A 22682-nucleotide genomic window follows, 5' to 3' on the forward strand; every position below is an offset into this window, starting at 1 on the left:
CAGCCAAACTAAGCTTCATAAGTCAAGGAGAAATAAAATCCTTTACAGGCAAGCAAATGCTGAGAGAGTCTGTCACCACCAGGCCTGCCTTACAAGAGCTCCTGAAGGAAGCACTAAACATGGAAAGGAACAACTGGTTACCAGCCATTGCAAAAACATGCCAAATTGTAAAGACCATTGATGCTATAAAGAAACTGCATCAACTAACGGGCAAAATAACCAGCCAGAATCATAACGATAGGATCAAATTCACACATAACAATATTAACCTTAAATGTAAATGGAATAAATGTCCAATTTAAAAGACACAGACTGGCAAATTGGATAAACAGTCAAGAACCATCAGTGTGCTACATTCAGGAGACCCATCTCACATGCAAAGACATACATACACTCAAAATAAAAGGATAGATGAAGATTTACCAAGAAAATGGAAAGCAAAAAAAAAAGCAGGGGTTGCAATCCTAGTCTCTGATAAAATAGATTTTAAACCAACAAAGATAAAAAAATACAAGGAAGGGCATTACCTATGGTAAAGGGATCAATGCAACAAGAAGAGCTAACTATCCTAAATATATATACACCCAATACAGGAGCACCCAGATTAATAAAGCAAGTTCTTAGAGACCTACAAAGAGAATTAGACTCCCACCCAATAATAGGGGGAGACTTTAACACCCCACTGTCAATATTAGACAGTTCAACGAGACAGAAAATTAACAAGGATAATGAGGACTTGAACTCAGCTCTGATACAAATGGACCTAATAGAAATCTACAGAACTCTCCACCCCAAATCAAGAGAATATACCTTCCTCTCAGCACCACATCACACTTACTCTAAAATTGACCACATAATTGGAAGTAAAACACTCCTCAGCAAATGTAAAAGAATGGAGATCATAACAAACCATCTCTCAGACCACAACGAAATCAAATTAGAACTCAGGATTAAGAAACTCACTCAAAACTGTACAACTACATGGAAACTGAACAACCTACTCCTGAATGACTACTGGGTAAATAACAAAATGAAGACAGAAATAAAGATGTTCTTTGAAACCAATGGGAACCAAGACACAACATACCAGAATCTCTGGGACATATTTAAAGCAGTGTGTAGAGGGAAATTTATAGTACTAAATACCCACAAGAGAAAGCAGGAAAGATCTAAAATTGATACTCCAACATCACAATGAAAAGAACTAGAGGAGCAAGAGCAAACAAATTCAAAATCTACCAGAAGACAAGAAATAATTAAGATCAGAGCAGAACTGAAGGAGATAGAGACACAGAAAACCCTTCAAAAAAATCAGTGAGTCCAGGAGATGACATTTTGAAAAGATTGAGAAAATAGACAGACCGCTAGCCAGACTAATAAAAAAGAAAAGAGAGAAGAATCAAATAGACACAATAAAAAATGATAGAGAGCATATCACGACTGCATCAGCATCATCCTGATACCAAAACCTGACAGAGACTCAACAAAAAGAAAATTTTAAGCCAATATCCCTGTTGAACATCGATGTGAAAATCCTGAATAAAATACTGGCAAACGATATCCAGCAGCACATCAAAAAGCCTATCCACTGCAATCAAGTCGGCTTCATCCCTGGGATGCAAGGCTGGGTCAACATATGCAAATCAATAAATGTAACCCATCACATAAACAGAACCAACAACAAAAATCACATGATTGTCTCAACAGATGCAGAAAAGGCCTTTGACAAAATTCACAAGCCCTTCATGCTAAAAACTCTCAATAAACTAAGTATTGACGGAACGTATCTCAAAATAATAAGAGCTATTTATGACAAACCCACAGCCAATATCATACTGAATGGGCAAAAACTGGAAGCATTCCCTTTGAAAACTAGCACAAGACTCAGTTTGCCAGTATTTTATTGAGGATTTTTGCATCGTTGTTCATCACGGATATTGGTCTAAATTTCTCTTTTTTTGTTGTATCTCTGCCAGGCTTTGGTATCAGGATGATGCTGGCCTCATAAAATGAGTTAGAGAGGATTCCCTCATTTTCTATTGATTGGAATAGTTTCAGAAGGAATGGTACCAGCTCCTCTTTGTACCTCTGGTAGAATTCGGCTGTGAATCGGTCTGGTCCTGGATTTTTTTTGGTTGGTAAGCTATTAATTATTGCCTCAATTTCAGACTCTGTTATTGGTCTATTCAGGGATTCAACTTCTTCCTGCTTTAGCCTTGGGAGGGTGTATGTGTTCAAGAATTTATCCATTCCTTCTAGTTTTGTAGTTTATTTGAGTAGAGGTGTTCATAGTATTCTCTGATGGTAGTTTGTATTTCTGTGGGATCGCTGGTGATATCCCCTTTATCATTTTTAATTGCTTCTATTTGATTCTTCTCTCTTTTCTTCTTTATTAGTCTTGCTAGTGGTCTATCTATTTTGTTGATCTTTTCAAAAAACCAGCTCCTGGATTCATTGATTTTTTGAAGGGATTTTTGTGTCTCTATCTCCTTCAGTTCTGCTCTGATCTTAATTATTTCTTGCCTTCTGCTAGCTTTTGAATGTGTTTGCTCAAGCTTCTCTAGTTCTTTTAATTGTGATGTTAGGGTGTCAATTTTAGATCTTTCCTGCTTTCTCTTGTGGGCATTTAGTGCTATAAATTTCCCTCTACACACTGCTTTAAATGTGTCCCAGATATTCTGGCATGCGGTGTCTTTGTTCTCATTGATTTCAAAGAACATCTGTATTTCTGCCTTCATTTTGTTATTCACCCAGCAGTCATTCAGGAGCAGGTTGTTCAGTTTCCATGTAGTTGTACAGTTTTGAATGGGTTTCTTAATCCTGAGTTCTAATTTGATTGCACTGTGGTCTGAGAGACAGACTGTTACGATTTCTGTTCTTTTACATTTGCTGAGGAGTACTTTACTTCCAACTATATGGTCAATTTTGGAATAAGTGTGATGTGGTGCTGAAAAGGATGTATATTCTGTTGATTTGGGGTGGAGAGTTCTGTAGATGTCTATTAGGTCCGCTTGGTGCAGAGATGAGTTCAAGTTAGGCAATACCATTCAGGACATAGGCATGGGCAAAGACTTCATGACTAAAACACCAAAGCAATGGCAACGAAAGCCAAAATTGACAAACGGGATCTAATTAAACTAAAGAGCTTCTGCACAGCAAAAGAAACTACCATCAGAGTGAACAGGCAACCTACAGAACGGGAGAAAATTTTTGCAATCTACCCATCTGACAAAGAGCTAATATCCGGACTCTACCAAGAAGTTAAACAAATTTACAAGAAAAAAACAAACAACCCCATCAAAAAGTGGGCAAAGGATAGGTACAGACACTTCTCAAAAGAAGATATTTATGCAGCCAACAGACACATGAAAAAATGCTCATCATCACCGGCCATCAGAGAAATGCAAATCAAAACCACAATGAGATACCATCTCACAGCAGTTAGAATGGCGATCATTAAAAAGTCAGGAAACAACAGATGCCGGAGAGGATGTGGAGAAATAGGAACACTTTTACACTGTTGGTGGGACTGTAAACTAGTTCAACCATTGTGGAAGACAGTGTGGCAATTCCTCAAGGATCTAGAACCAGAAATACCATTTAACCCAGAGATCCCATTACTGGGTATATACCCAAAAGATTATAAATCATGCTACTATAAAGACGCATGCACACCTATGTTTATTGCGGCACTATTCACAATAGCAAAGACCTGGAACCAACCCAAATGCCCATCAACGATAGACTGGATTAAGAAAATGTGGCACATATACACCATGGAATACTATGCAGCCATAAAAAATGATGAGTTCATGTCCTTTGTAGGGACATGGATGAAGCTGGAAACCATCATTCTGAGCAAACTATTGCAAGGACAGAAAACCAAATACTGCATGTTCTCACTCATAGGTGGGAATTGAACAATGAGAACACTTGGACACAGGGTGGGGAACATCAAACATGGGGGCCTGTAGTGGGGTGAGGGGAGTGGGCAGGGACAGCATTAGGAGAAATACCTAATGTAAACGACGAGTTACTGGTTACAGCATACCAACATGGCACATGTGTACCTATGTAACAAACCTGCACATTGTGCACAGGTACCCTAGATCTTAAAGTATAAGAAAGAAAGACAGAAAGAAAGAAAGACAGACACACAGAAAGAAAGAAAGAAAGAAGGAAAGAAAGAAAGAAAGAAAGAAAGAAAGAAAGAAAGAAAGAAAGAAAGAAAGAGAAAGAAGAAAGAAAGAAAGAAAGAGGCAGGCACAAGATAAGGATGCCCCCTCTCACCACTCCTATTCAACATAGTATTGGAAGTTCTGGCCAGGGCAATCAGGCAAGAGAAAGAAATAAAGGGTATTCAATTAGGAAAAGAGGAAGTCAAATTGTCCCTGTTTGCAGATGACATGATTGTATATTTAGAAAACCCCATCATGTCAGCCCCAAATCTCCTTAAGCTGATAAGCAACTTCAGCAAAGTCTCAGGATACAAAATCAACGTGCAAAAATCACAAGCATTCCTATATACCAATATCAGACAAATAGAGAGCCAAATCATGAGTGAACTCCCATTCACAATTGCTACAAAGAGAATAAAATACCTAGGAATCCAACTTTCAAGGAATGTGAAAGAGCTCTTCAAGGAGAACTACAAACCACTGCTCAAGGAAATAAAAGAGGACACAAACGATTGGAAGAACATTCCATGCTCATGGATAGGAAGAGTCAACATTGTGAAAATGGCCATGCTGCCCAAAGTAATTTATAGATTCAGTGCTATCCCCATCAAGTTACCAATGACTTTCTTCACAGAATTGGAAAAAACTACTTTAAAGTTCATATGGAACCAAAAAAGAGCCTGCATTGCCAAGACAATCCTAAGCAAAAAGAACAAAGCTGGAGGCATCACGCTACCTGACTTCAAACTATACTGCAAGGCTACAGTAACCAAAACAGCATGGTACTGGGTACCAAAACAGATATATAGACCAATGGAACAGAACAGAGACCTCAGAAATAATACCACACATCTACAACCATCTGATCTTTCACAAACCCGACAAAAACAAGCAACGAGGAAAGGATTCCCTATTTAATAAGTGGTGCTGGGAAAACTGGCTAGCCATAAGCAGAAAGCTGAAACTGGATCCCTTCCTTATGCCTTATACAAAAATTAACTCAAGATCAATTAAAGACTTAAACATAAGACCTAAAACCATAAAAACCCTAGAAGAAAACCTAAGCAATACCATTCAGGACATAAAGATGGGCAAAGTCTTCATGACTAAAACACCAAAAGCAATGGCAACAAAAGCCAAAATTGACAAATGGGATCTAATTAAACTGAAGTGCTTCTGCAAAGCAAAAGAAACTACCATCAGAGTGAACAGGCAACCTACAGTATGGGAGAAAATGTTTGCAATCTATCTATCTGACAAAGGTCGAATATCCAGAATCCACAAGGAACTTAAACAAATTTACAAGAAAAAATCAAACAACCCCATAAAAAATGGGTGAAAGATATGAACAGACAGTTCTCAAAAGAAGACACTTATGTAGCCAAGAAACATGAAAACATGCTCATCATCACTGGAAATGCATATCAAAACCACAATGAGATACCATCTCACACCAGTTAGAATGGCAATCATTAAAAAGTCAAGAAACAACAGATGCTGGAGAGGATGTGGAGAAATATGAACGCTTTTACACTGTTGGTGACATTGTGGAAGACAGTGTGGCAATTCCTCAAGAATCTAGAACCAGAAATACCATTAGACCCAGCAATCCCATTACTGGGTATACACCCAAAGGATTATAAATCATTCTACAATAAAGACACATGCACACGTATGTTTATTGCAGCTCTGTTCACAATAGCAAAGTCTTGGAACCAACCCAAATGCCCATCAGTGATAGACTGGATAAAGAAAATATGGCACATACACACCATGGAATACTATGCAGCCATAAAAAAGGATGCATTCATGTCCTTTGCAGGGACATAGATGAAACTAGAAACCATCATTCTCAGCAATCTAACACAAGAACAGAAAACCAAACACCACATGTTCTCACTCATAAGTGGTAGCTGAACAATGAGAACACATGGACACAAGGAGGGGAACATCACACACTGGGGCTTGTTGGGGAGTGGGGGGCTGGGAGAGGGATAGCATTAGGAGAAATACCTAATGTAAATGACAAGTTGATGGGTGTAGCATACCAGCATGCACATGTATACCTATGTAATAAACCTGCACATTGTGCACATGTACCCCAGAACTTAAAGTATAATTTTAAAAAAATGTTGGGAAATACATGGCTGAAGCTTAGGAATCAGATTAGAGCTGTGGAAGTTAATTTGGAGTCATCTCATCCAAAGACAAAAAAAGAGGACCATACTATTAAACAGAACTAACTTCACATGCCTGATCAGGGCCTAGCAGTGTGCTAGAAACTACATTTTGCATTCATTCACTTTCATCCTTATAACAACTTAAGAAGTAGAGTTATTAGCCTTGTTTCTACGTCGAGGAAACCAAACCTCAGAACAATTAAGTAACTAGACCAAGAAACAAGTGTTCTGAGTTCAAAGCCTTTGTTATTTTCACTACATTGGACGGCCTCATCACCATATCTGGGAACACGGAAAAATGAAATTTCTAAGCAAGTAAATGTGGAGAGAGGAATAAAAGGCCAAACACAGAACTTTGAACTTATCTCTATCCTACAGAGCCTCAGAGGCTTCCAACATTGGATATATTCCATATTGTTTCTAAAAATCTCAATGAAAGCTTGTGTTCTATGAAGATCAATTACATAAGAAGCTTGGGTTTCAAAACCAGATGCAACCATGAAAGTTATCTTTATGGTATATGACCAAATAAAGAGGCCACTGAATTAATTAAATCTCCCATAGTTGCTAATTTGTTACTACTTGCATTACTCAGTCAAGAGTTATTTATATTGCAAATTATCTTTATTCTTTATTACTAATCCTACCTGACAAGAATTAAATTCCCACAGTATGGGATGGGCCTGAGCTTTAGGAACTTCGAAGCTGCTAGGCACTTCTGAGAATTTATGGTCTGGAACCCCTTCACACAGCAAAATGCTACCAACTATACATTCTGCTCCTCAGCCAATTTAGAGGACTTGGGCTCTGATTTTGTTCCTTCCTGAGTTTACTCTCTGATAGTCCCCTCTGCTATATAGTTTAATGGGCTAATCAAATAAATTCTGCATTAAATGTATACTTTTAGATTTTCATGGAAAAATCTCCCAAAATTTTTCATAGGCCATTCTTCCAGGAATTCTCTTTAATTCGTGTTCTACTTTTGCTTTCGGTGGAACAGAGAAAATGAAACAACCCAAGAATCAGCTTTCTTCCACGAGGTTTTTTCCTCACATTAACATCTGGAATGCTTCCCTAATGGTATTCTGATAATATATTAAATAAAGCTGTTTTACATATCCAAACAACCAGTTGACTTAAACCGAATACTTTGCCATTTTAGTGAAGGAAAAAAATATGAAATTGGTTGCTGGGTTGAAAAAGATTTCCAAACCTGTCAGTTCAACCAAATGATTGCAATAATAAAGGCATTCAGTCATAGAAGTCATAGCTAGAGAGTAAGCAGAGGAATCCACAAACAAGAGTTTCTTTTGAGTATGGGTCAATGCTCTCAATTGGATGAGTTTTTAAAAATATGTACATTGAGTTACAAAGAAGGAAGCATAAGTTTGAGAAAAATCTGCATTAATTTCACTTACTGAAACAACAACAACAGGATATAAAATGCAAAGACTACTCTCTTCAAGCATGCTCAGTAACTTCTGGGTTTCTTGAAAATCAGAGGTTGTAACCTAAAAGACCAGAAAAATAAAAGGATATGAGAAGACGTTTTTAAATGACTTAAAACTTATTTCAAGGAATAAATGGAGAGATTCTGCATAACATTCAAAATATTTATCAAACTTAGTTTTTAATTTAGAAACAATTTTAAAGGATATCCATAAAGTTATACATGTCAAATTTTTATCTACTAATTGAGTCAAACCTGCCTCTTATTACCTACTTTGGACCAGGTACAAACAAAATTGAAAATATTGTCCAAAATACCACTCTTCTCATTATGGGAATTAGCTTGTTGAAAGTATTATTTCTCTTTCAAAGATAAAATCTCCAAAAATGTGTAGAAGAACTCATCATAATATCATATATAAATATTTAAGAATCAAATTAGTTCTCTTCCACATTTGTTCATATCCTTAAGTGCCTTCAATCATTTGAATTGACTTACATTCACACAAACAAAATTGTAGCATTGATCTAAGATGATTTGCTGAAGATGTCTGCCAGCATGACCCAGAGCCTCAGATGTGACTTTTACATGCTAGTAGGAAAAAACAGAAATGAATTCACAAATTAGATAGACCAAACATAAACATCTTTGTTACAAAGGAACACATAATTGCTAGAAGGCCCATAAAGCCAAGGACCATATATTTTTTAAAAAAATGAAACATGCTGAAGTTCATCAGGCTATCAAGAAATAGTCATTTGAACTAGGCTATGAATAATGCATATTTTAGCAAACAAGGATATAGAAAATTGTTTCACATAGGAAAAAAATATGGACATAAACAGAATATATTCTGGAACAGGCTAGTAGTCTGGTTTATCTTATACAAATAAATATTGAAGAGCATGTTGAAGGACTAAAAGAGAAAGGGTGCAGTGATGATTGCAGGTATCTGGAAGCACATAACACAGTTTTAATACAGGGAATAGACTTCACTAAACCTGAAATAACTAGAAATGGGGAAAGCAGTAAGAAATCATCACAACAATATAAGTGAGAGAGAATTAAGACTTAAACTACACAAACTATTCCTAAAACTGTCGGGAACTTACTTCTACTACTATAAGTAGTCCGAGATTAGATTAGATTTAGAGAAGAACACATATTATGCAAACTTTCCTAGTAAGATTTTTTATTCCATATAGTTTAATATTCTAATTAGCTTCTTTTAAGATTTTTCTATCATCACAATATGAACAAAAACTTAAGAATTACTAGACAAGGGATCTGTGATATCTTTGCTATAATAATTCCACAGGAAATCACATTTCAGTGATTCTTACTGGTATTACATTTAGAATGCTTTACATTTCATAGTTCTAAAAATAATACAGTGCTGTTCCTTGGTGAAACATCAAACTCTGTAACTCTGTACATTATCTATTTAGTAGCTTAATTTGCTATAATTTTGACAAAATACTGGAGAATGAGAAAGGAAAGTTTTCAAGGTCTTAGCTTTACTCTAGAAATTAGTTGGCTATTAAATTTTAAAAATTTTAGTTCAGTTTAAAATTCATATTGAGCATAAAGCTCAAAGATTTTTAAGAAAAAAGCCAAAAAGTCCATAGTCATCAACAATATATTAACACCACAATAAAAAAAGAAACCAGTATCCATTCTGCGATAGTAAGTTTGATCAAGTGGTAACATCTAGATATTACAGGGAGACAATTTTTCAAAAGTCCTTCATGTATTCAAACATTTTCAAAGGCATTAACAGCTAACTTGTTCCATACTTCCTTTGCAAGGATGTTTGTACAAATTGCAGAGATAGAGATATTTCTTCCTAGAACAGATTTATTTTCCAGTAAGATGGGGACATCTCTCTCTCTCTGGATTAGGCTTACTTGGCATTCCAGAGTTATCTCTTGAGGAGCAGATGGGCTGATTTGCCTGTATAAGGCCAGGGTTTCCTACTATCAAGGTTCTTTTTAAAGAACTCTACTGCCCAGCAACAACTAACTCTAATTGCATCTCTCCATGGAAATTGGAATTCAGAAAAAAACCGAGTGCTACATTTTTGTTCTTGCTACTGCTGTGGTTATAAATGGTCTTTTCTCTGACTCTGTAGTCTCAGATCTTCCACCAATATCTATGATACTGTGTCAGGCTGACTTATTTGCATGCAAGTAAGGTATAGTCTCACATCCTGCCAAGTTTCTGACTTCACAGATATGAAATAAGGCAACCATATCACCAGATCTTAACTTCAACAAAGATGCACAAGTGAATTCTGAACTCAGAAAAAAAAAAATCTTACTTTAAAATTTCCTTCTGCATGTAGAGAATGAAAACATGAGAGATATTCTGATTCAGTTTTTTTGAAGTATTAAAATAAATTTCTTTAGGACAGAGCTTAGGATCTTTGAGGACAGAAACATTCATGTTTTTACCACTAGCAAATGTTTAATAATTTTAAAAACAAAAACAAAACTTTGCCACCAGTTTTTTAAAGAAAAATATCTTGTGTCAAGAAAATAGTGTATGTTCTTAAAATGAACAATGTGGGAAAGTTCTTTAAAAATAAAAACTCACCAAAAAATACTACATATAAATAATTACTCTGAAAGGTAAGTATCATTCCAACAATTCTCTATGAATAATATATGTAGTAACCAGGAAAGACAAATGAAGTATTAAAAGTACGAATGTTGCATTACAATAGAATAATATGCATGTCATTTTAAATTATGTAATTTTAGTGAATGAAAACCAAATGTAGTAAAACCAAAAGTGTTGCTAAATTTTAGATAATTCATTTCCAGGAAGTTTAATTTCTAAAGGTTAAGAAGAGGTGCCTTGAGCAGGATAAAGACACTGCACTCTTAATGACAACTCACTTCTTTTTGTAAGTCAGTATTCACTGACTTCCTTCTGTGAGAGAAGGAGATAGCACATTTTAAGTTCTACCCATAGTCTAGGTCTGGTCAATCATGCTGTTTTAAATCTAAAACGTTTATTAGATTCTTATTCTATTTTGTGGCCATAATTAACATTAGACATTATCTACCTTCAAGGAAAGTGACTTAACAAAATTTTCCCCAATTCTAAATTTTTCATTTTAATTCACATTATTAGATGAATATGGGCAAGTAGTTGGTTGTTTTGGAGCAATTTTTTTTTTTAAGAAAAGCCGTAACATTTTTAGGTTCCTTGAGTTTTTGCTTAAGAATAGTTTATCTAGGAATAAAAATTTGGTTCATACTTTCCCTCACAGATCTGCAATCACTGTGCCACTATTTTTAATTGTTACATGTTTTCCTTCTGCTTCTTATATTCCATTTGTCATTCAGCCATTTTCCATTCATTTTCTTGGATTTCAATGTCAAGCAGTTTCCCCCACCTACCCCGCCATTGCCCTTCCAAGTACGCATAGTTGTTACATTTGAGGTTTTTTTCTTTTATCTTTATTACCAGAGAAAAATTTGGCTCGTGGTGATAGTCTTGGATATCACCTTCATCCCCTCGGATGTTTGTAGATAATCCTCCATTATATTTGGAATGAATACTGTAGATATATGAGGTTGGACTATCCTACGTTTTGCTTGTTTATGGGTTTTGCATCTTGATGTCTTCCTGAAGTATTCTTCATGGGGAATTTCCAAATCAACCACAGTAAGTTTTATTACGAATTGTTATTTCTCAACTTTTCCTGAAAATATGCCCTTTTAGATCAAATAGAATTAGTTCAAGGAAACTTTCTTTTAGCTTTCTGAAGAATTTATTTATTTTTCTACTTGATACATGAAAAGTGTCCACACATTGGCTGCCTTAGTCATCTAAACACCTACTCTACTTTAGCTACCATTTTTTTAAATTGGAATATGCTGCAATTATCTTGACTTTTCTCCCCTCAGTTATCTGACTTGCTGTATTGTTTCTCTAAGCGACTAGTTCTTTAATAGCGCTGCTTTCATAATAATTTTGTTTCCTATTCAATCACTGTTAATCTCTTACAATGTTGTGTTTTCAATTTTTAACCTTGAATTCAGATTCTCACTGAGTTCTTCTACAGAACAAAAAGGTATAATTTGGGAGAAGGAAGAGGTCTCAGGTTTTATCCAGGTTTACTTCTTATGTGCATTATAATTTTTTAAGTACAAATTGTACTTTTCCTGGTTATTTTCTATGAATTAGAGTGTTAAAACAAAATCAGACACTGATAATTTTCTCTGTCTCTATGAGATGCCACAGAAAATTGAGATATTTTCTACTTTTAAAGGATTCTCCTTGGCTCTCACACTTCAGCTTCTCAATCTGCTTCTAAGTTAAAAATAAAAGAATTATCTTAATGAATCAACTTTTGCCCCCATTACAAGGTCTGGGAGATCCACGGGCAGGGTTTAGAAGACATCAGCCAGATTATCATCTGCACTTACTTTCTTGACTGTTACTTTTAAAAATGTATGCATTAAGTGGGGCCCCTCATGTTTGTTTGGCTACTGTTAATTTTGCTTATTTTCTATTGTTTTTAAAGCAATGGAGAAGGAAGATTTTATGAATGATCTTTATCATATTTACCTGGCTGTCACTACTATTTTTAAGTACTTTAAGGAATTATTTTATTTTTATATTGTACATCTTTAGACAAAAGGCAAGTATTCCCTAACCATTAAGAGTATTTTAAGTATTCCTAGAAGAGCTTCATTTTTCTCATTAAAAACATGTAACTTTATATACATATTACATGTCTGTGTGTGTAACTCCCATTAGATTAAATCTAAAATAGTGACTTTGACATTAAAGCCCTTCATAGTCTACTTATATTCTACCTATTCAAATCCTAGCCACCCATTCCACTCTTCAACACAAATATTCTTAAACTCTAAAGAAATTTTTCTCTATTGTCACAAATACTGGGCTCATTCATACCTATGACAACTTCGGCCCATATTGACTTCAATATCTACTTGCTTCTTCAAAGCTATTATGTATTTCTTAAACTTTAACAGTTAGTAAGATATACACTCTTAGAATATACAATTGTAGGCCAGGCGCAGTGGCTCACGCCTGTCATCCCAGCACTCTGGGAGGCCGAGGTGGGTGGATCACCTGAGGTCAGGAGTTCAAGACCAGCCTGGCCAAGATGGTGAAACCCCCGTCTCTACTAAAAATACAAATATTAGCTGGGCATGGTGGTGGACACCTGTAATCCCAGCTACTTGAGAGGCTGAGGCAGAGAACTGCTTGAACCTGGGAGGCAGAGGTTGCAGTGAGCTGAGATCGTGCCACTGCACTCCAGCCTTGGCGACAGAGTAAAACTCCATTTCAAAATAAAAAAAAAAAAGAATGTACAATATAGATATATGGAAAGCACAATGCCCAGCCATATAGTGTTATTGTAATTGTAATTAAAATATATTTGTTCAGTTACATGATACATTTAAAACTGCACTTAAAGTCATTCTTTAGCTAATGCCCATAAACTAAGACAGAAATGCATACACAATATTTACATAAAAGTTATCAAATATTAGTATTTTTGTACTCTTGAAAAACCAAACTGCAATTTTTTTTCTTCTTGAAATTGAGACTCTTAATAATTGTTTCCAGCTCAGTGTAATTCTTTTAGTCATACTGCTTTCCTCCCAACCAGAAAACAATCAGTATTTTCCATGCTTGAGTAAAGAAACTTAGATTTTACCTAAATATAGCAAAGGTATCTGTGACACTTTTAATCAACAAAGACCACAATAGACAACGCTATTAGGTTGTTTATATATAAAAAAAAGTCCTAAGCATCATCATATGCTGTCATTCCTGATGTTTCCACACTCAAACACAACAAATGAAACAATCTGCTGGCTAGAGTTTCTTCTGTAAATATTTTGGTTCAAAGGACATTTAAACAAAATTTAAAACAACTTCCAATGTGTTCAGTAAATTAAAGTACGACAACAAAAAATCAAACTTTCCTTACATCATAACAAATAAGAGTTTAGGAAAGATTTACCGTAAACTAAATGCAAACATCTGTGTATTCACAATATTAATACTATATAAAGCATGGATATTAGGAATAAAGATGGATTGTCAAAAAAGTTTTCATCTCAAAAAGCATTAAGGCCTAACTAAGGCTGAAAGGTTTTGGTTCAATTCCCATGAGTCAGAAGTTCAAATATGTGTTTCTGAAAAGTCAATCATCTTTTTACAGAAAACGTTGGCTGGGTCATCTCTGAGTCTGAATCTTCCAACTTCTAGCCTCTCTACCATTCAAACAATGGCACAAGTGACTTGTAGAGAGATGTATTTTCTTTCCACTCTGTGAACATGCCAACAATTATCCCTTTTTGCCTTTCTAGCATTCAGCATTTACTATTTCTTAGAATAAGCTTTTAAGCTTTTCTTTTTGTATGTGTGTGCATGTGTGTACTAAAGAGCATGGACTCTGGTACCAAGATCCCTGGGTTTGAATCTATCTCCAGAACGTCGTTGCTGTGTGACTTTGGGCAAGTTACGTAAGTCCTGTGGCTCAGTTTACTCCTCAGTAAAATGAGTACATCATAGAATTTATATGAGGATTGGCTAAGCTAATATGTGAAGGGTAAGAGTTAACTTTTCCAAGATGTCTTCTCTATAGCTTGTCCTCGTAGAAGGCTTTAAGGAAGTCAATCCTGGTAGAGTTGTAAGCTAATAAATAAATTGGGTTACCAGTCGGCTAGGTTATATAAGCTACAGGCTGCTAACCATGAATGGTAAGCTGGTGGATCATAACAGTGGCCTTCCACTTCATGACCTGCCACCATAGGACTTAAACCCTAGCTAGCTGGTCATACTAAAGCAGGTTTGATACTCTCCCAATCCTAGATGCTGGGTAGGCAGAATAGTACTATAACCAAGGTTCTGAGACATTGCACTGCTATTGGATCCCTATCTCTTATCACACAAGGAAAAGGACTGGTGCTTCCCTCACTATGCAACTTAAAAGTCACAGCACAAAGACTGGAGTCTAACATTCAGCCCGGAAGATCCATTTGCAGTGCTACATAGTGCAGTGGACACTGCCTCTGTCTGAGTCCAAGGACATTTCCCAACAACTACTGTTCTAGGAAGTCTGAAGTCTAATGTGTGTACTGTCAAGTCATTCATCTTTGAATATATGTAAAGACCCAGTAGCATTCATGTTTTGGGTCACCTAATGCACACTGCTATATTAAATGCTTGCTGTTATAACTCTACTCACTTCTTAACTTCCACTTTTAGAGGACCCTTTAAAACATATCTCCATTATCCCTTTACATTTAATACATTTATTGAGGCTTTATAACTTGCCAGAATCTACGCTAAATACTTTCAACAATTATCTTGTTAAAACTGCATAGTACACCTATGCACGGGCAGGTATTATCATCATCCTCATGTTATAGATAATGCAGTACAGGCACAAAAGTTTGCATAATCTAAGATTACACAGCCAGTAAGGGGCTAGCACTCAGACTCAGGTCTGTTGGAACTCCCAGGTCCACATACATAACCTCTAAAGCACACTGGACATCAGTGTTACTCTAGGTACTATTACCTTGTCACAGACATCACAACACCCTTACCCAGAGAGGAGTAATTCTACATGTCCCAAAGTCAACTCCGGGGGAAGGGGTGTCGGGGAGGAACATGTATTCTGGAGGAAGTCAGTTAAGTACTAACAATCTTAATTGCCAGTATACACATTCCCTTAACTGTGATGTTTCTGGATCCTGGATAGTGTAGAAAGTATTTAAGAAGTGTCCTCCAATTTCAATCTTCAGATTTGATATCAAAGTAATGTCAAGTGCTTCTGACCCACTGCATTAAACGTGTGCTGAGCAGTTGGTGGTAGAAGACATTATTGTGGTAAGTCTTCCTTTGTGCATCCATCTCTCACTGTTAAAACTCATGTTGAAAGCCAACTATTGTTCTAATGCAACACTACAAGGACCATGGAATGGAAAATGACAAGCTCTAAATTTAACAAACCTTGAGCACCTGACACAAAGAATTTAAGGCTCCCGTTTTTTGTTTTTCTTTTTTTTTTTTTTAAGACAGAGTCTTGCTCTGTCACCCATGCTGGAGTGCAGTCGTATCATCTTGGCTCACTGCAACCTCTGCCTCTTGGGTTCAACCAATTCTCCTGCCTCAGCCTACCAAGTAGCTGGGATTACAGGTGCTCACCACCACGCCTGACTAATTTTTGTATTTTTAGTAGAATGGGACTTTCACCATATTGGCCAGGCTGGTCTCGAACCTCTGACCTTAGGTGATCCACCCGCCTCGGCCTCCTAAAGTGCTGGGATTACAGGCACGAGCCACCGTGCCCAGCCCCGTTTTATTATGCATCCAAAGTTGGATAGTATCAACACAAATTGTAAAGCTGCAAAATACCACCCTGCTTTTCTTTCTGTCGAGCTTTCATGACAGATTATACTATAACTAAAAGACAGTGTGTAGTAGATGGGAAACGACTGGCATTAACTCATATATCATGTTTGGCAGGCATGTTCTGTAACTATTAGTGGAAATCACTAATGATATGTGAAAAAGATATAAACAGTAATATGATCCCTTTATATTTATTAGTAATGCATAAAACATTTGCAAGCTGAGAACTGGCAAGTTAAAATGAACAAATCCTATCTGTCTTAATTAAAAATAAAACAAGGTCACAAAGAACAGAGTATCTTAGCCATTGATGGATTAATATAATTTCATTCATTTGACCAATATTTATTGATAGCTACAAGCCAGACACTAAATTGTATACTGAGACCATGTCAATGACTAGACAGGTTTCTGCCCTTAAGAAGTTTATAGCCTAATGGGAAAACAAAATAAATTTTAGATGTGTATTTCTCGAATTTCAATGTCTATGGGAATTTCTGAGAATCCTGTTATAAATGCAGATTTTAATTCTTTTAGATTTGGGGTAAAGCTAAGAATAAACATTTCTAAGAAGCTTACAGTTGATACTGATATAACTGATGCCTGGATCACACTTTGAGCCAGCAAAAGGTTCTATCATTTGAATCCACATTAATCTAAAAGTCATCTCTCATTTTGAGTAGATATTTACTGAGGAGTGTGTCCTCATCTAGCAAATGAAAGAAAACTGCAACCTTACTGAGCCAAAGCCATTGCCTTTATCTTTATTACATATATTGGTATGGCAAACATAAATGACTAAAATTAAACAATTCATTAATTCAACTTTTTTCCCTCAAATTCTTGCTAAGTTTACAACGTAATTTAATTTAAATGCATAAAGTTTTTATTTTTCCTAAGTAATAAAGATTCTGTCTAAATGTACAGTCTGCCTCCAGAATCTGTTGGTTCCACAGTTAAGGATTCGAGCGTGGGTCAAAAACATTTGAAAAACAAAACTAAACAATAAAAATACAAATTTATAAAAATACAGTGTAACTATATAGCATTTATATTGTATTAGGGACTGTATGTAATCTAAAGATGATTTAACATATACAGGAAGATGTATATAGGTTATATGTAAACGTTATTTCATTTTATGTAACGGATTAGAGCACCCATAAATTGTGGTATTTGTAGAGCAGAAAGGTAGGTCCTGGAACCCCCATATAAATTGAGGGACAACTGTATATAGAAGTATAATTGCAGCCTGTTTCCATATTAAAATCATGTGATGAGAAAATGACAATCACTTAAATGACATGATTGATATTGTACTGCAAATGTGACAATTGTCTAGATAAGAAATATTATCTAGACAAATGTCTAGATAAGAAATATTAAAAAGGTTCTCAACAACCTCCATTTTCCACCTAGTTTTTACAAAATGATAGAAAATAAAGAAAATTAAAATCAGCTATAATTTGTATGAATAGCTTACCGAAGAGTCCTTTCACATGTAATCCCAAGAAAATCATGCAATAGTCTTTTAAAGAATATTCAGACACCATCCCAATATTTGTTCAACCTGAAAACTGCCATCAAACCCTATGTAATAAGCAAACTATTTTTCATTAATGTATACTCCTCTTGTATGAGAAATATACTTGCAATATTTATACATAAAATTTCCCTCTCATACAACTTTCCCATTATGACTTATGAGGAGCCTGTTGAATATACATTGTTTAGCTTAGAGGTTCAAAATATTTTAAAAATACTAAGGATAAATTACATTTTGAACAAAAACTCGATCATGTGACTTGTTTCAGAACTAAGTATATACCATATAATATTTTTTAAACAGTACATTTCTAGACAATATAGAAAAATAGATTCAAATATGTAATATAGAATCTTACGGTAGAGTCTACAGAATACATTTTAAAAATATTGCTTATGGCTTATTTTCTTCACTCCACTAGAAGGTCCCCTCTGCAGTGCTCATTTCTGCAACACTGTCTTTCTTTCCTGACAGAAGGCTGCTCACCACCAATTTCATCACTGTTGCTAACTCCAGCTCATCTAATCTCTGCAACATCTGCTACCAGCACCTTCTCTTGCCTCCTTTTGTGAACATAGTTTTTTCTTCTGGTTAGAAAATCAGTTCGAACTTCTTGAGTTTTGTGTTTTAAACTCTTCTCAACTGTTCCGATGATTGATGGATGGCCCAGAGGCGACCTCTTTATCTCCAGCAACATATTTGGCTGTTGGCCCGGTAGAGAGGTACTCCAGAAGCTTGCTGGTTCATCATGCTCTCATCTTTAACCACAACTATTTATCTGACTCCTTCCATCTCCACAGCACTGTGTGAGGGATCAGTGATAAGAGACGGTGAAAGACATGCGCAAATGGATAAATAATAAGCAGGATATGTAGAATGACACAACAATTGATGAGTAATTTAGGAGATCCAATAACTAAAAAAAAAAAGACTGGGGACAAGTTCATGGAAAGAGTAATCAACTAAGCCTTATAACATAAAATTGACAAATAGAGAAGGCATGCAATCCAGTAGAATAGAGTGCAAAAGAGGTAGAAGACTAATCGTTTCAAGACATGTTGAGCCACAACAGCAATAACATTGTGACAAAAAACGTCGGTGTAGACTGCAGAAGATCTTCAATGACGGATCAAGCTGTATAGACTTTTTTTTACCCTCATATACTGAATAGTCATTTAAGGTATACAGTGCCAACGTAAGAGAGAAAGGTAAACTTTTTTTAACACAAGTTGTAGGCCTTGGAAAGAAGTTTTCCAGTAACAAGATAACACGATAATGTACTGTGGTTATAAGCTCAAAGTGGTATATTTGATTCAGTGTTCCCAGAACCACCAAAACCTTGGAACCATTGTTTAGCTAAAGCTACTAGAACAACAGAATAACCTACTCTGTGGCATTGTAAAGTAAAATTATACTACACACAAATACTTGACATAAAATACATTTCCAAACTCAATTATTAGGGATAACATAAGCACAAAATGATGCTTTGCAAACATCATGTATCCTATAACTGGAGAAAAAAAATTAATGACATGAAGTGAAATGACTGAGTTCTGAAGCTACATCTCAATTTAAATAGCATAAGCAATTTAGTATACAACATTCTTCAAAATCAATTGTTGAAGGTTAACTATAATCTACATACAAAAACAACTTTGTCAACTTTTTGTACGGATTTTCCTTCTAAACATATTTACTTTATGTGTAAAATCAAAAAATTTCCTGAGTTAAAGGCTAAGACTTGACTTTATGAATACATGCCCAAAAATTGGTGGTGGCTGGTTTCTGTTTTTATTTTGTAAGCTTAGTATAATGGTTGTCCAGAACTTGTAAGCAATGACCTCATTTCTAAGCGGACAAGATGCAAAAGACCATTTTTACAGATTAACCATCTGGTTCCTTTAGGAAGAGTAATATTTCAACAGGTTCCTGTATTTCAAGAATATAAATAATTAAAAAGATGAAGATATGTGAAATACACAAAGAAAAAAATAGAGAAAATAGCATTTAAAGCAAATTATCCTAGCTCCCTCAATTAATATTTTAAAACCATGACAATCAGTTATTAATATAAATTGTTAATTTTATTTAATACAACATCAATATAATTCATACCATCTTCTTCAACTAGGTGGTCTATCATTTTGGAGTTTCTTTCCACCTCTGGAGAATTGCTCAGGAAATCTGGCTAACATACCAAATAAATCAAATGGATTTAATGAGATGGTTTTTGGCTAGTTTCTATATTCTTGTATACACATGCATGTAACACATAAATGTGGTGCTGTTCACAGTTAGAGGCGCAAGAGAAAAAAGTAGCTTTCCAGTGTTATTTCATTGTTATTAACTATACAGTATTCAGGTGCAAACAAATGAAAATCCTGTATATTCACGCTAAAATATAATATGTATCAAAATAAGCATAAAATAACTGTTTTGGATAGGTCTTAGGATGCTGCTGTGGCTTAATTTGCTCTGTTTATGTTCTCTCCGCTTTTCTTTATTGCATGTGCTAGTTTTGATGTGTTGTTTGACTAATATGTCATACGGTGAATTTACTGAGGTCTATAACAAAAGGCATGGATCCATACACTGGACACAACCTTGAGGGCATAAGGGAAAAAAAAAAGAAACTAAGTACCATAGAACAGCCTCAACAAAATCAGAGCATGCTTTACACGTGATTTTCAGTTACACCCTGCTTGTCATTTGTGATTACTCAAAACAATAATTAAATTACGTCCTCCAGGAAACAGGAAGGAGTGGATAACCAAAATACATGAAAAGCCCCTACAGTCCCTGTTTGTTCAGAGTATAGATCAGCATTCTTTAGGAGTTCCATTCTTTTATTACAGGAATGAATATTGGGTTGAACACGCTTATATGCATTTAGAGGTAATGTGATGTATGAAAACAAGTACTGCAGAGGTTTCCTCTGTAGAACTGTACTTTTAAGAGGAGCAGCCACCATAATCTTCTTGTAAAGGTAAACTGGATCATGTCATTTTCAAATAAAGTCTTCTCTCACTTCATTTTCCCCTTAAAACAATATATAAATGATAATAGTAGCAACGGTAACAGTAGAAGTGGTAAACTCAACATAAAAAGCCTACAAGGCTCTTTCCTTGTCTCTTGCTACTCCCACTTCCACTCCATTTGCATCTCCAACCACAGATGCTTTCTTTCTGTGCCCCAATGAAGCTCTTTATGTGCCTTTCACATACTGTTACTTCTGGTTTGTTCTTTAAATAGATAATTATTTATTGCCCTTAAAGACTTAAGTTAAATACCACATCTGCCAAGAGATTTCACTTACTGCCTTCCACTCCCAATCTAAGTCACTTTCTCTGGCTCTCTTATATAAGCACAGTTATGTTTTCCTTAGAATATTCATCACAATTTGACATTTTAATTTGCATTCATTTACTTTTTATCCCCAACTGGACAATATGCTCCTTGGAAATAGGAAATCATACTTGCTCAGTTCAACTCCCTGTATCTAGTGACTATATCATGACAGGCATTTATTATTTGGTAAATAAACTAGAGAATTTAGGAATAAAAGACTAATCATATCTTCCCACTTATAAATTCCTTACTACCTTCAGTTCAGTATATAGTATAAACTATTTTTGGATATTTACTGAAAACTGGGAAGAAGTGAGAGAGGTCCCTTTAAAACTGTCTACCACCCTGATCTATCTCTGGAGAGCTCTATCTTCAAAGCTGGTAAGGTCTGTGAAATACTTCAAATTGCTGAGAAAAACGGAGGAGGAAAATAGCAAGACTGATAGCAAAGCCTTGTCCTTTAAGAATCAGTAAAAAGTGCCTGTGAATGGGGGGAGTAGGAGAGGTGCCTCTCCCCAAGTTAGCTCTTTACTTAACTTTTTAACAACCTCTTCCAGGTATTTGGTGGGTATCATTAAAGTTAGATGTTTGGTTCACCTGTAAGGTATGTTGCAAAATTCTAGTACAGATAATTACAATAAACATACCCAATCTTTTCCCTTAATTTCAAAGGAAAACATTTTTTCTTTTCATGTTAACAAAACAATCCTCCCATTATGTGTTGAGCAGCTCCACACCCACACTGATCTGCCCTACAGATGCCAGGATTTCAATAGTGGTGACTTCATCCTTTTTACACATTCCTTTCAAAGTAGGATGAAAGCTTTGAGAGGTGAAAATGTTAGAATACGTTGCATTTTGTATTTGTAAGTTATAAGCTGAAAAATGTCATGAGATAAATTTACCTTTATAAGGGAAGGGAAAAAGTATATAAAACTACATAAATCCTTTCCTAAGGGGATGTCTTTCAGACATTAGGTATTAGCCCTTTGTCAAACTTAAAAATCTCAGTCTTTTATCTCACCTTTCCTTAGAAGAATATTAATTAGTAGAGACCATTTTGAATCAACTAGCATCTATATTCACTATTGACATGACCTCAGGCAAATCAAACTGCAAGTTTCCCTATTTCCATTTGTAAAATAAAGGGGGAAATCATAGGGTTATTTTTTTTCCATTTATATATCTTGTTTGAAAGAATGTCTATTCATATCCTTTGTCGCTTTTTTTTTTATTTTATTATTATTATACTTTAAGTTTTAGGGTACATGTGCACAATGTGCAGGTTAGTTACATATGTATACATGTGCCATGCTGGGGTGCTGCACCCATTAACTCGTCATTTAGCATTAGGTATATCTCCTAATGCTATCCCTCCCCCCTCCCCCCATCAAAGGGTTATTTTAAAGAGAAAAGAACTGCATAGTACTGATACAAACAGGAGACACGGAAATCCCGGGTAGAAGAGGACAGTCCCTGGTGAGGGCCACACCCTTAGGCCTGGGTACTGTGGCCCAAAGTGAGAACATGCATTCCTGTTTTCCCACTCAAATGCTGCTTTT

General features: G+C 35.6%; 1 protein-coding gene and 1 long non-coding RNA gene across 6 annotated transcripts in view; one reads left to right on the forward strand and one right to left on the reverse strand.

The window, feature by feature from the left end:
* Nucleotides 1-19991, forward strand: part of CRPPA-AS1 (CRPPA antisense RNA 1) — a 60119-nt gene extending 40128 nt beyond the window's left edge. The window contains exons 3-5 of one of the 2 annotated variants that reach the window (NR_038946.1): nucleotides 11286-11483; nucleotides 15614-15698; nucleotides 18244-19991. This is a non-coding gene — a long non-coding RNA (CRPPA antisense RNA 1). The remainder of the gene's footprint in view (nucleotides 1-11285; nucleotides 11484-15613; nucleotides 15699-18243) is intronic. The other variant, NR_038947.1, reaches the window with a different exon arrangement.
* The window catches only part of CRPPA (CDP-L-ribitol pyrophosphorylase A), a 334014-nt gene that overhangs the window by 163089 nt on the left and 148243 nt on the right, over nucleotides 1-22682 (reverse strand). For all 4 annotated transcript variants that reach the window (NR_160656.1, NM_001101417.4, NM_001368197.1 and 1 more), the window contains 2 exons: nucleotides 8307-8399; nucleotides 7777-7869 (listed from right to left, as the gene is read on the reverse strand). Coding sequence is in view for 3 of the 4 variants with exons in the window: in NM_001101417.4 (NP_001094887.1) it covers nucleotides 7777-7869; nucleotides 8307-8399 (186 nt within the window). In the remaining variant the exon portion in view is untranslated. The remainder of the gene's footprint in view (nucleotides 1-7776; nucleotides 7870-8306; nucleotides 8400-22682) is intronic.

The sequence above is a fragment of the Homo sapiens genome, chromosome 7 (assembly GCF_000001405.40).
Source record: "Homo sapiens chromosome 7, GRCh38.p14 Primary Assembly".
Lineage (NCBI taxonomy): Eukaryota > Metazoa > Chordata > Mammalia > Primates > Hominidae > Homo > Homo sapiens.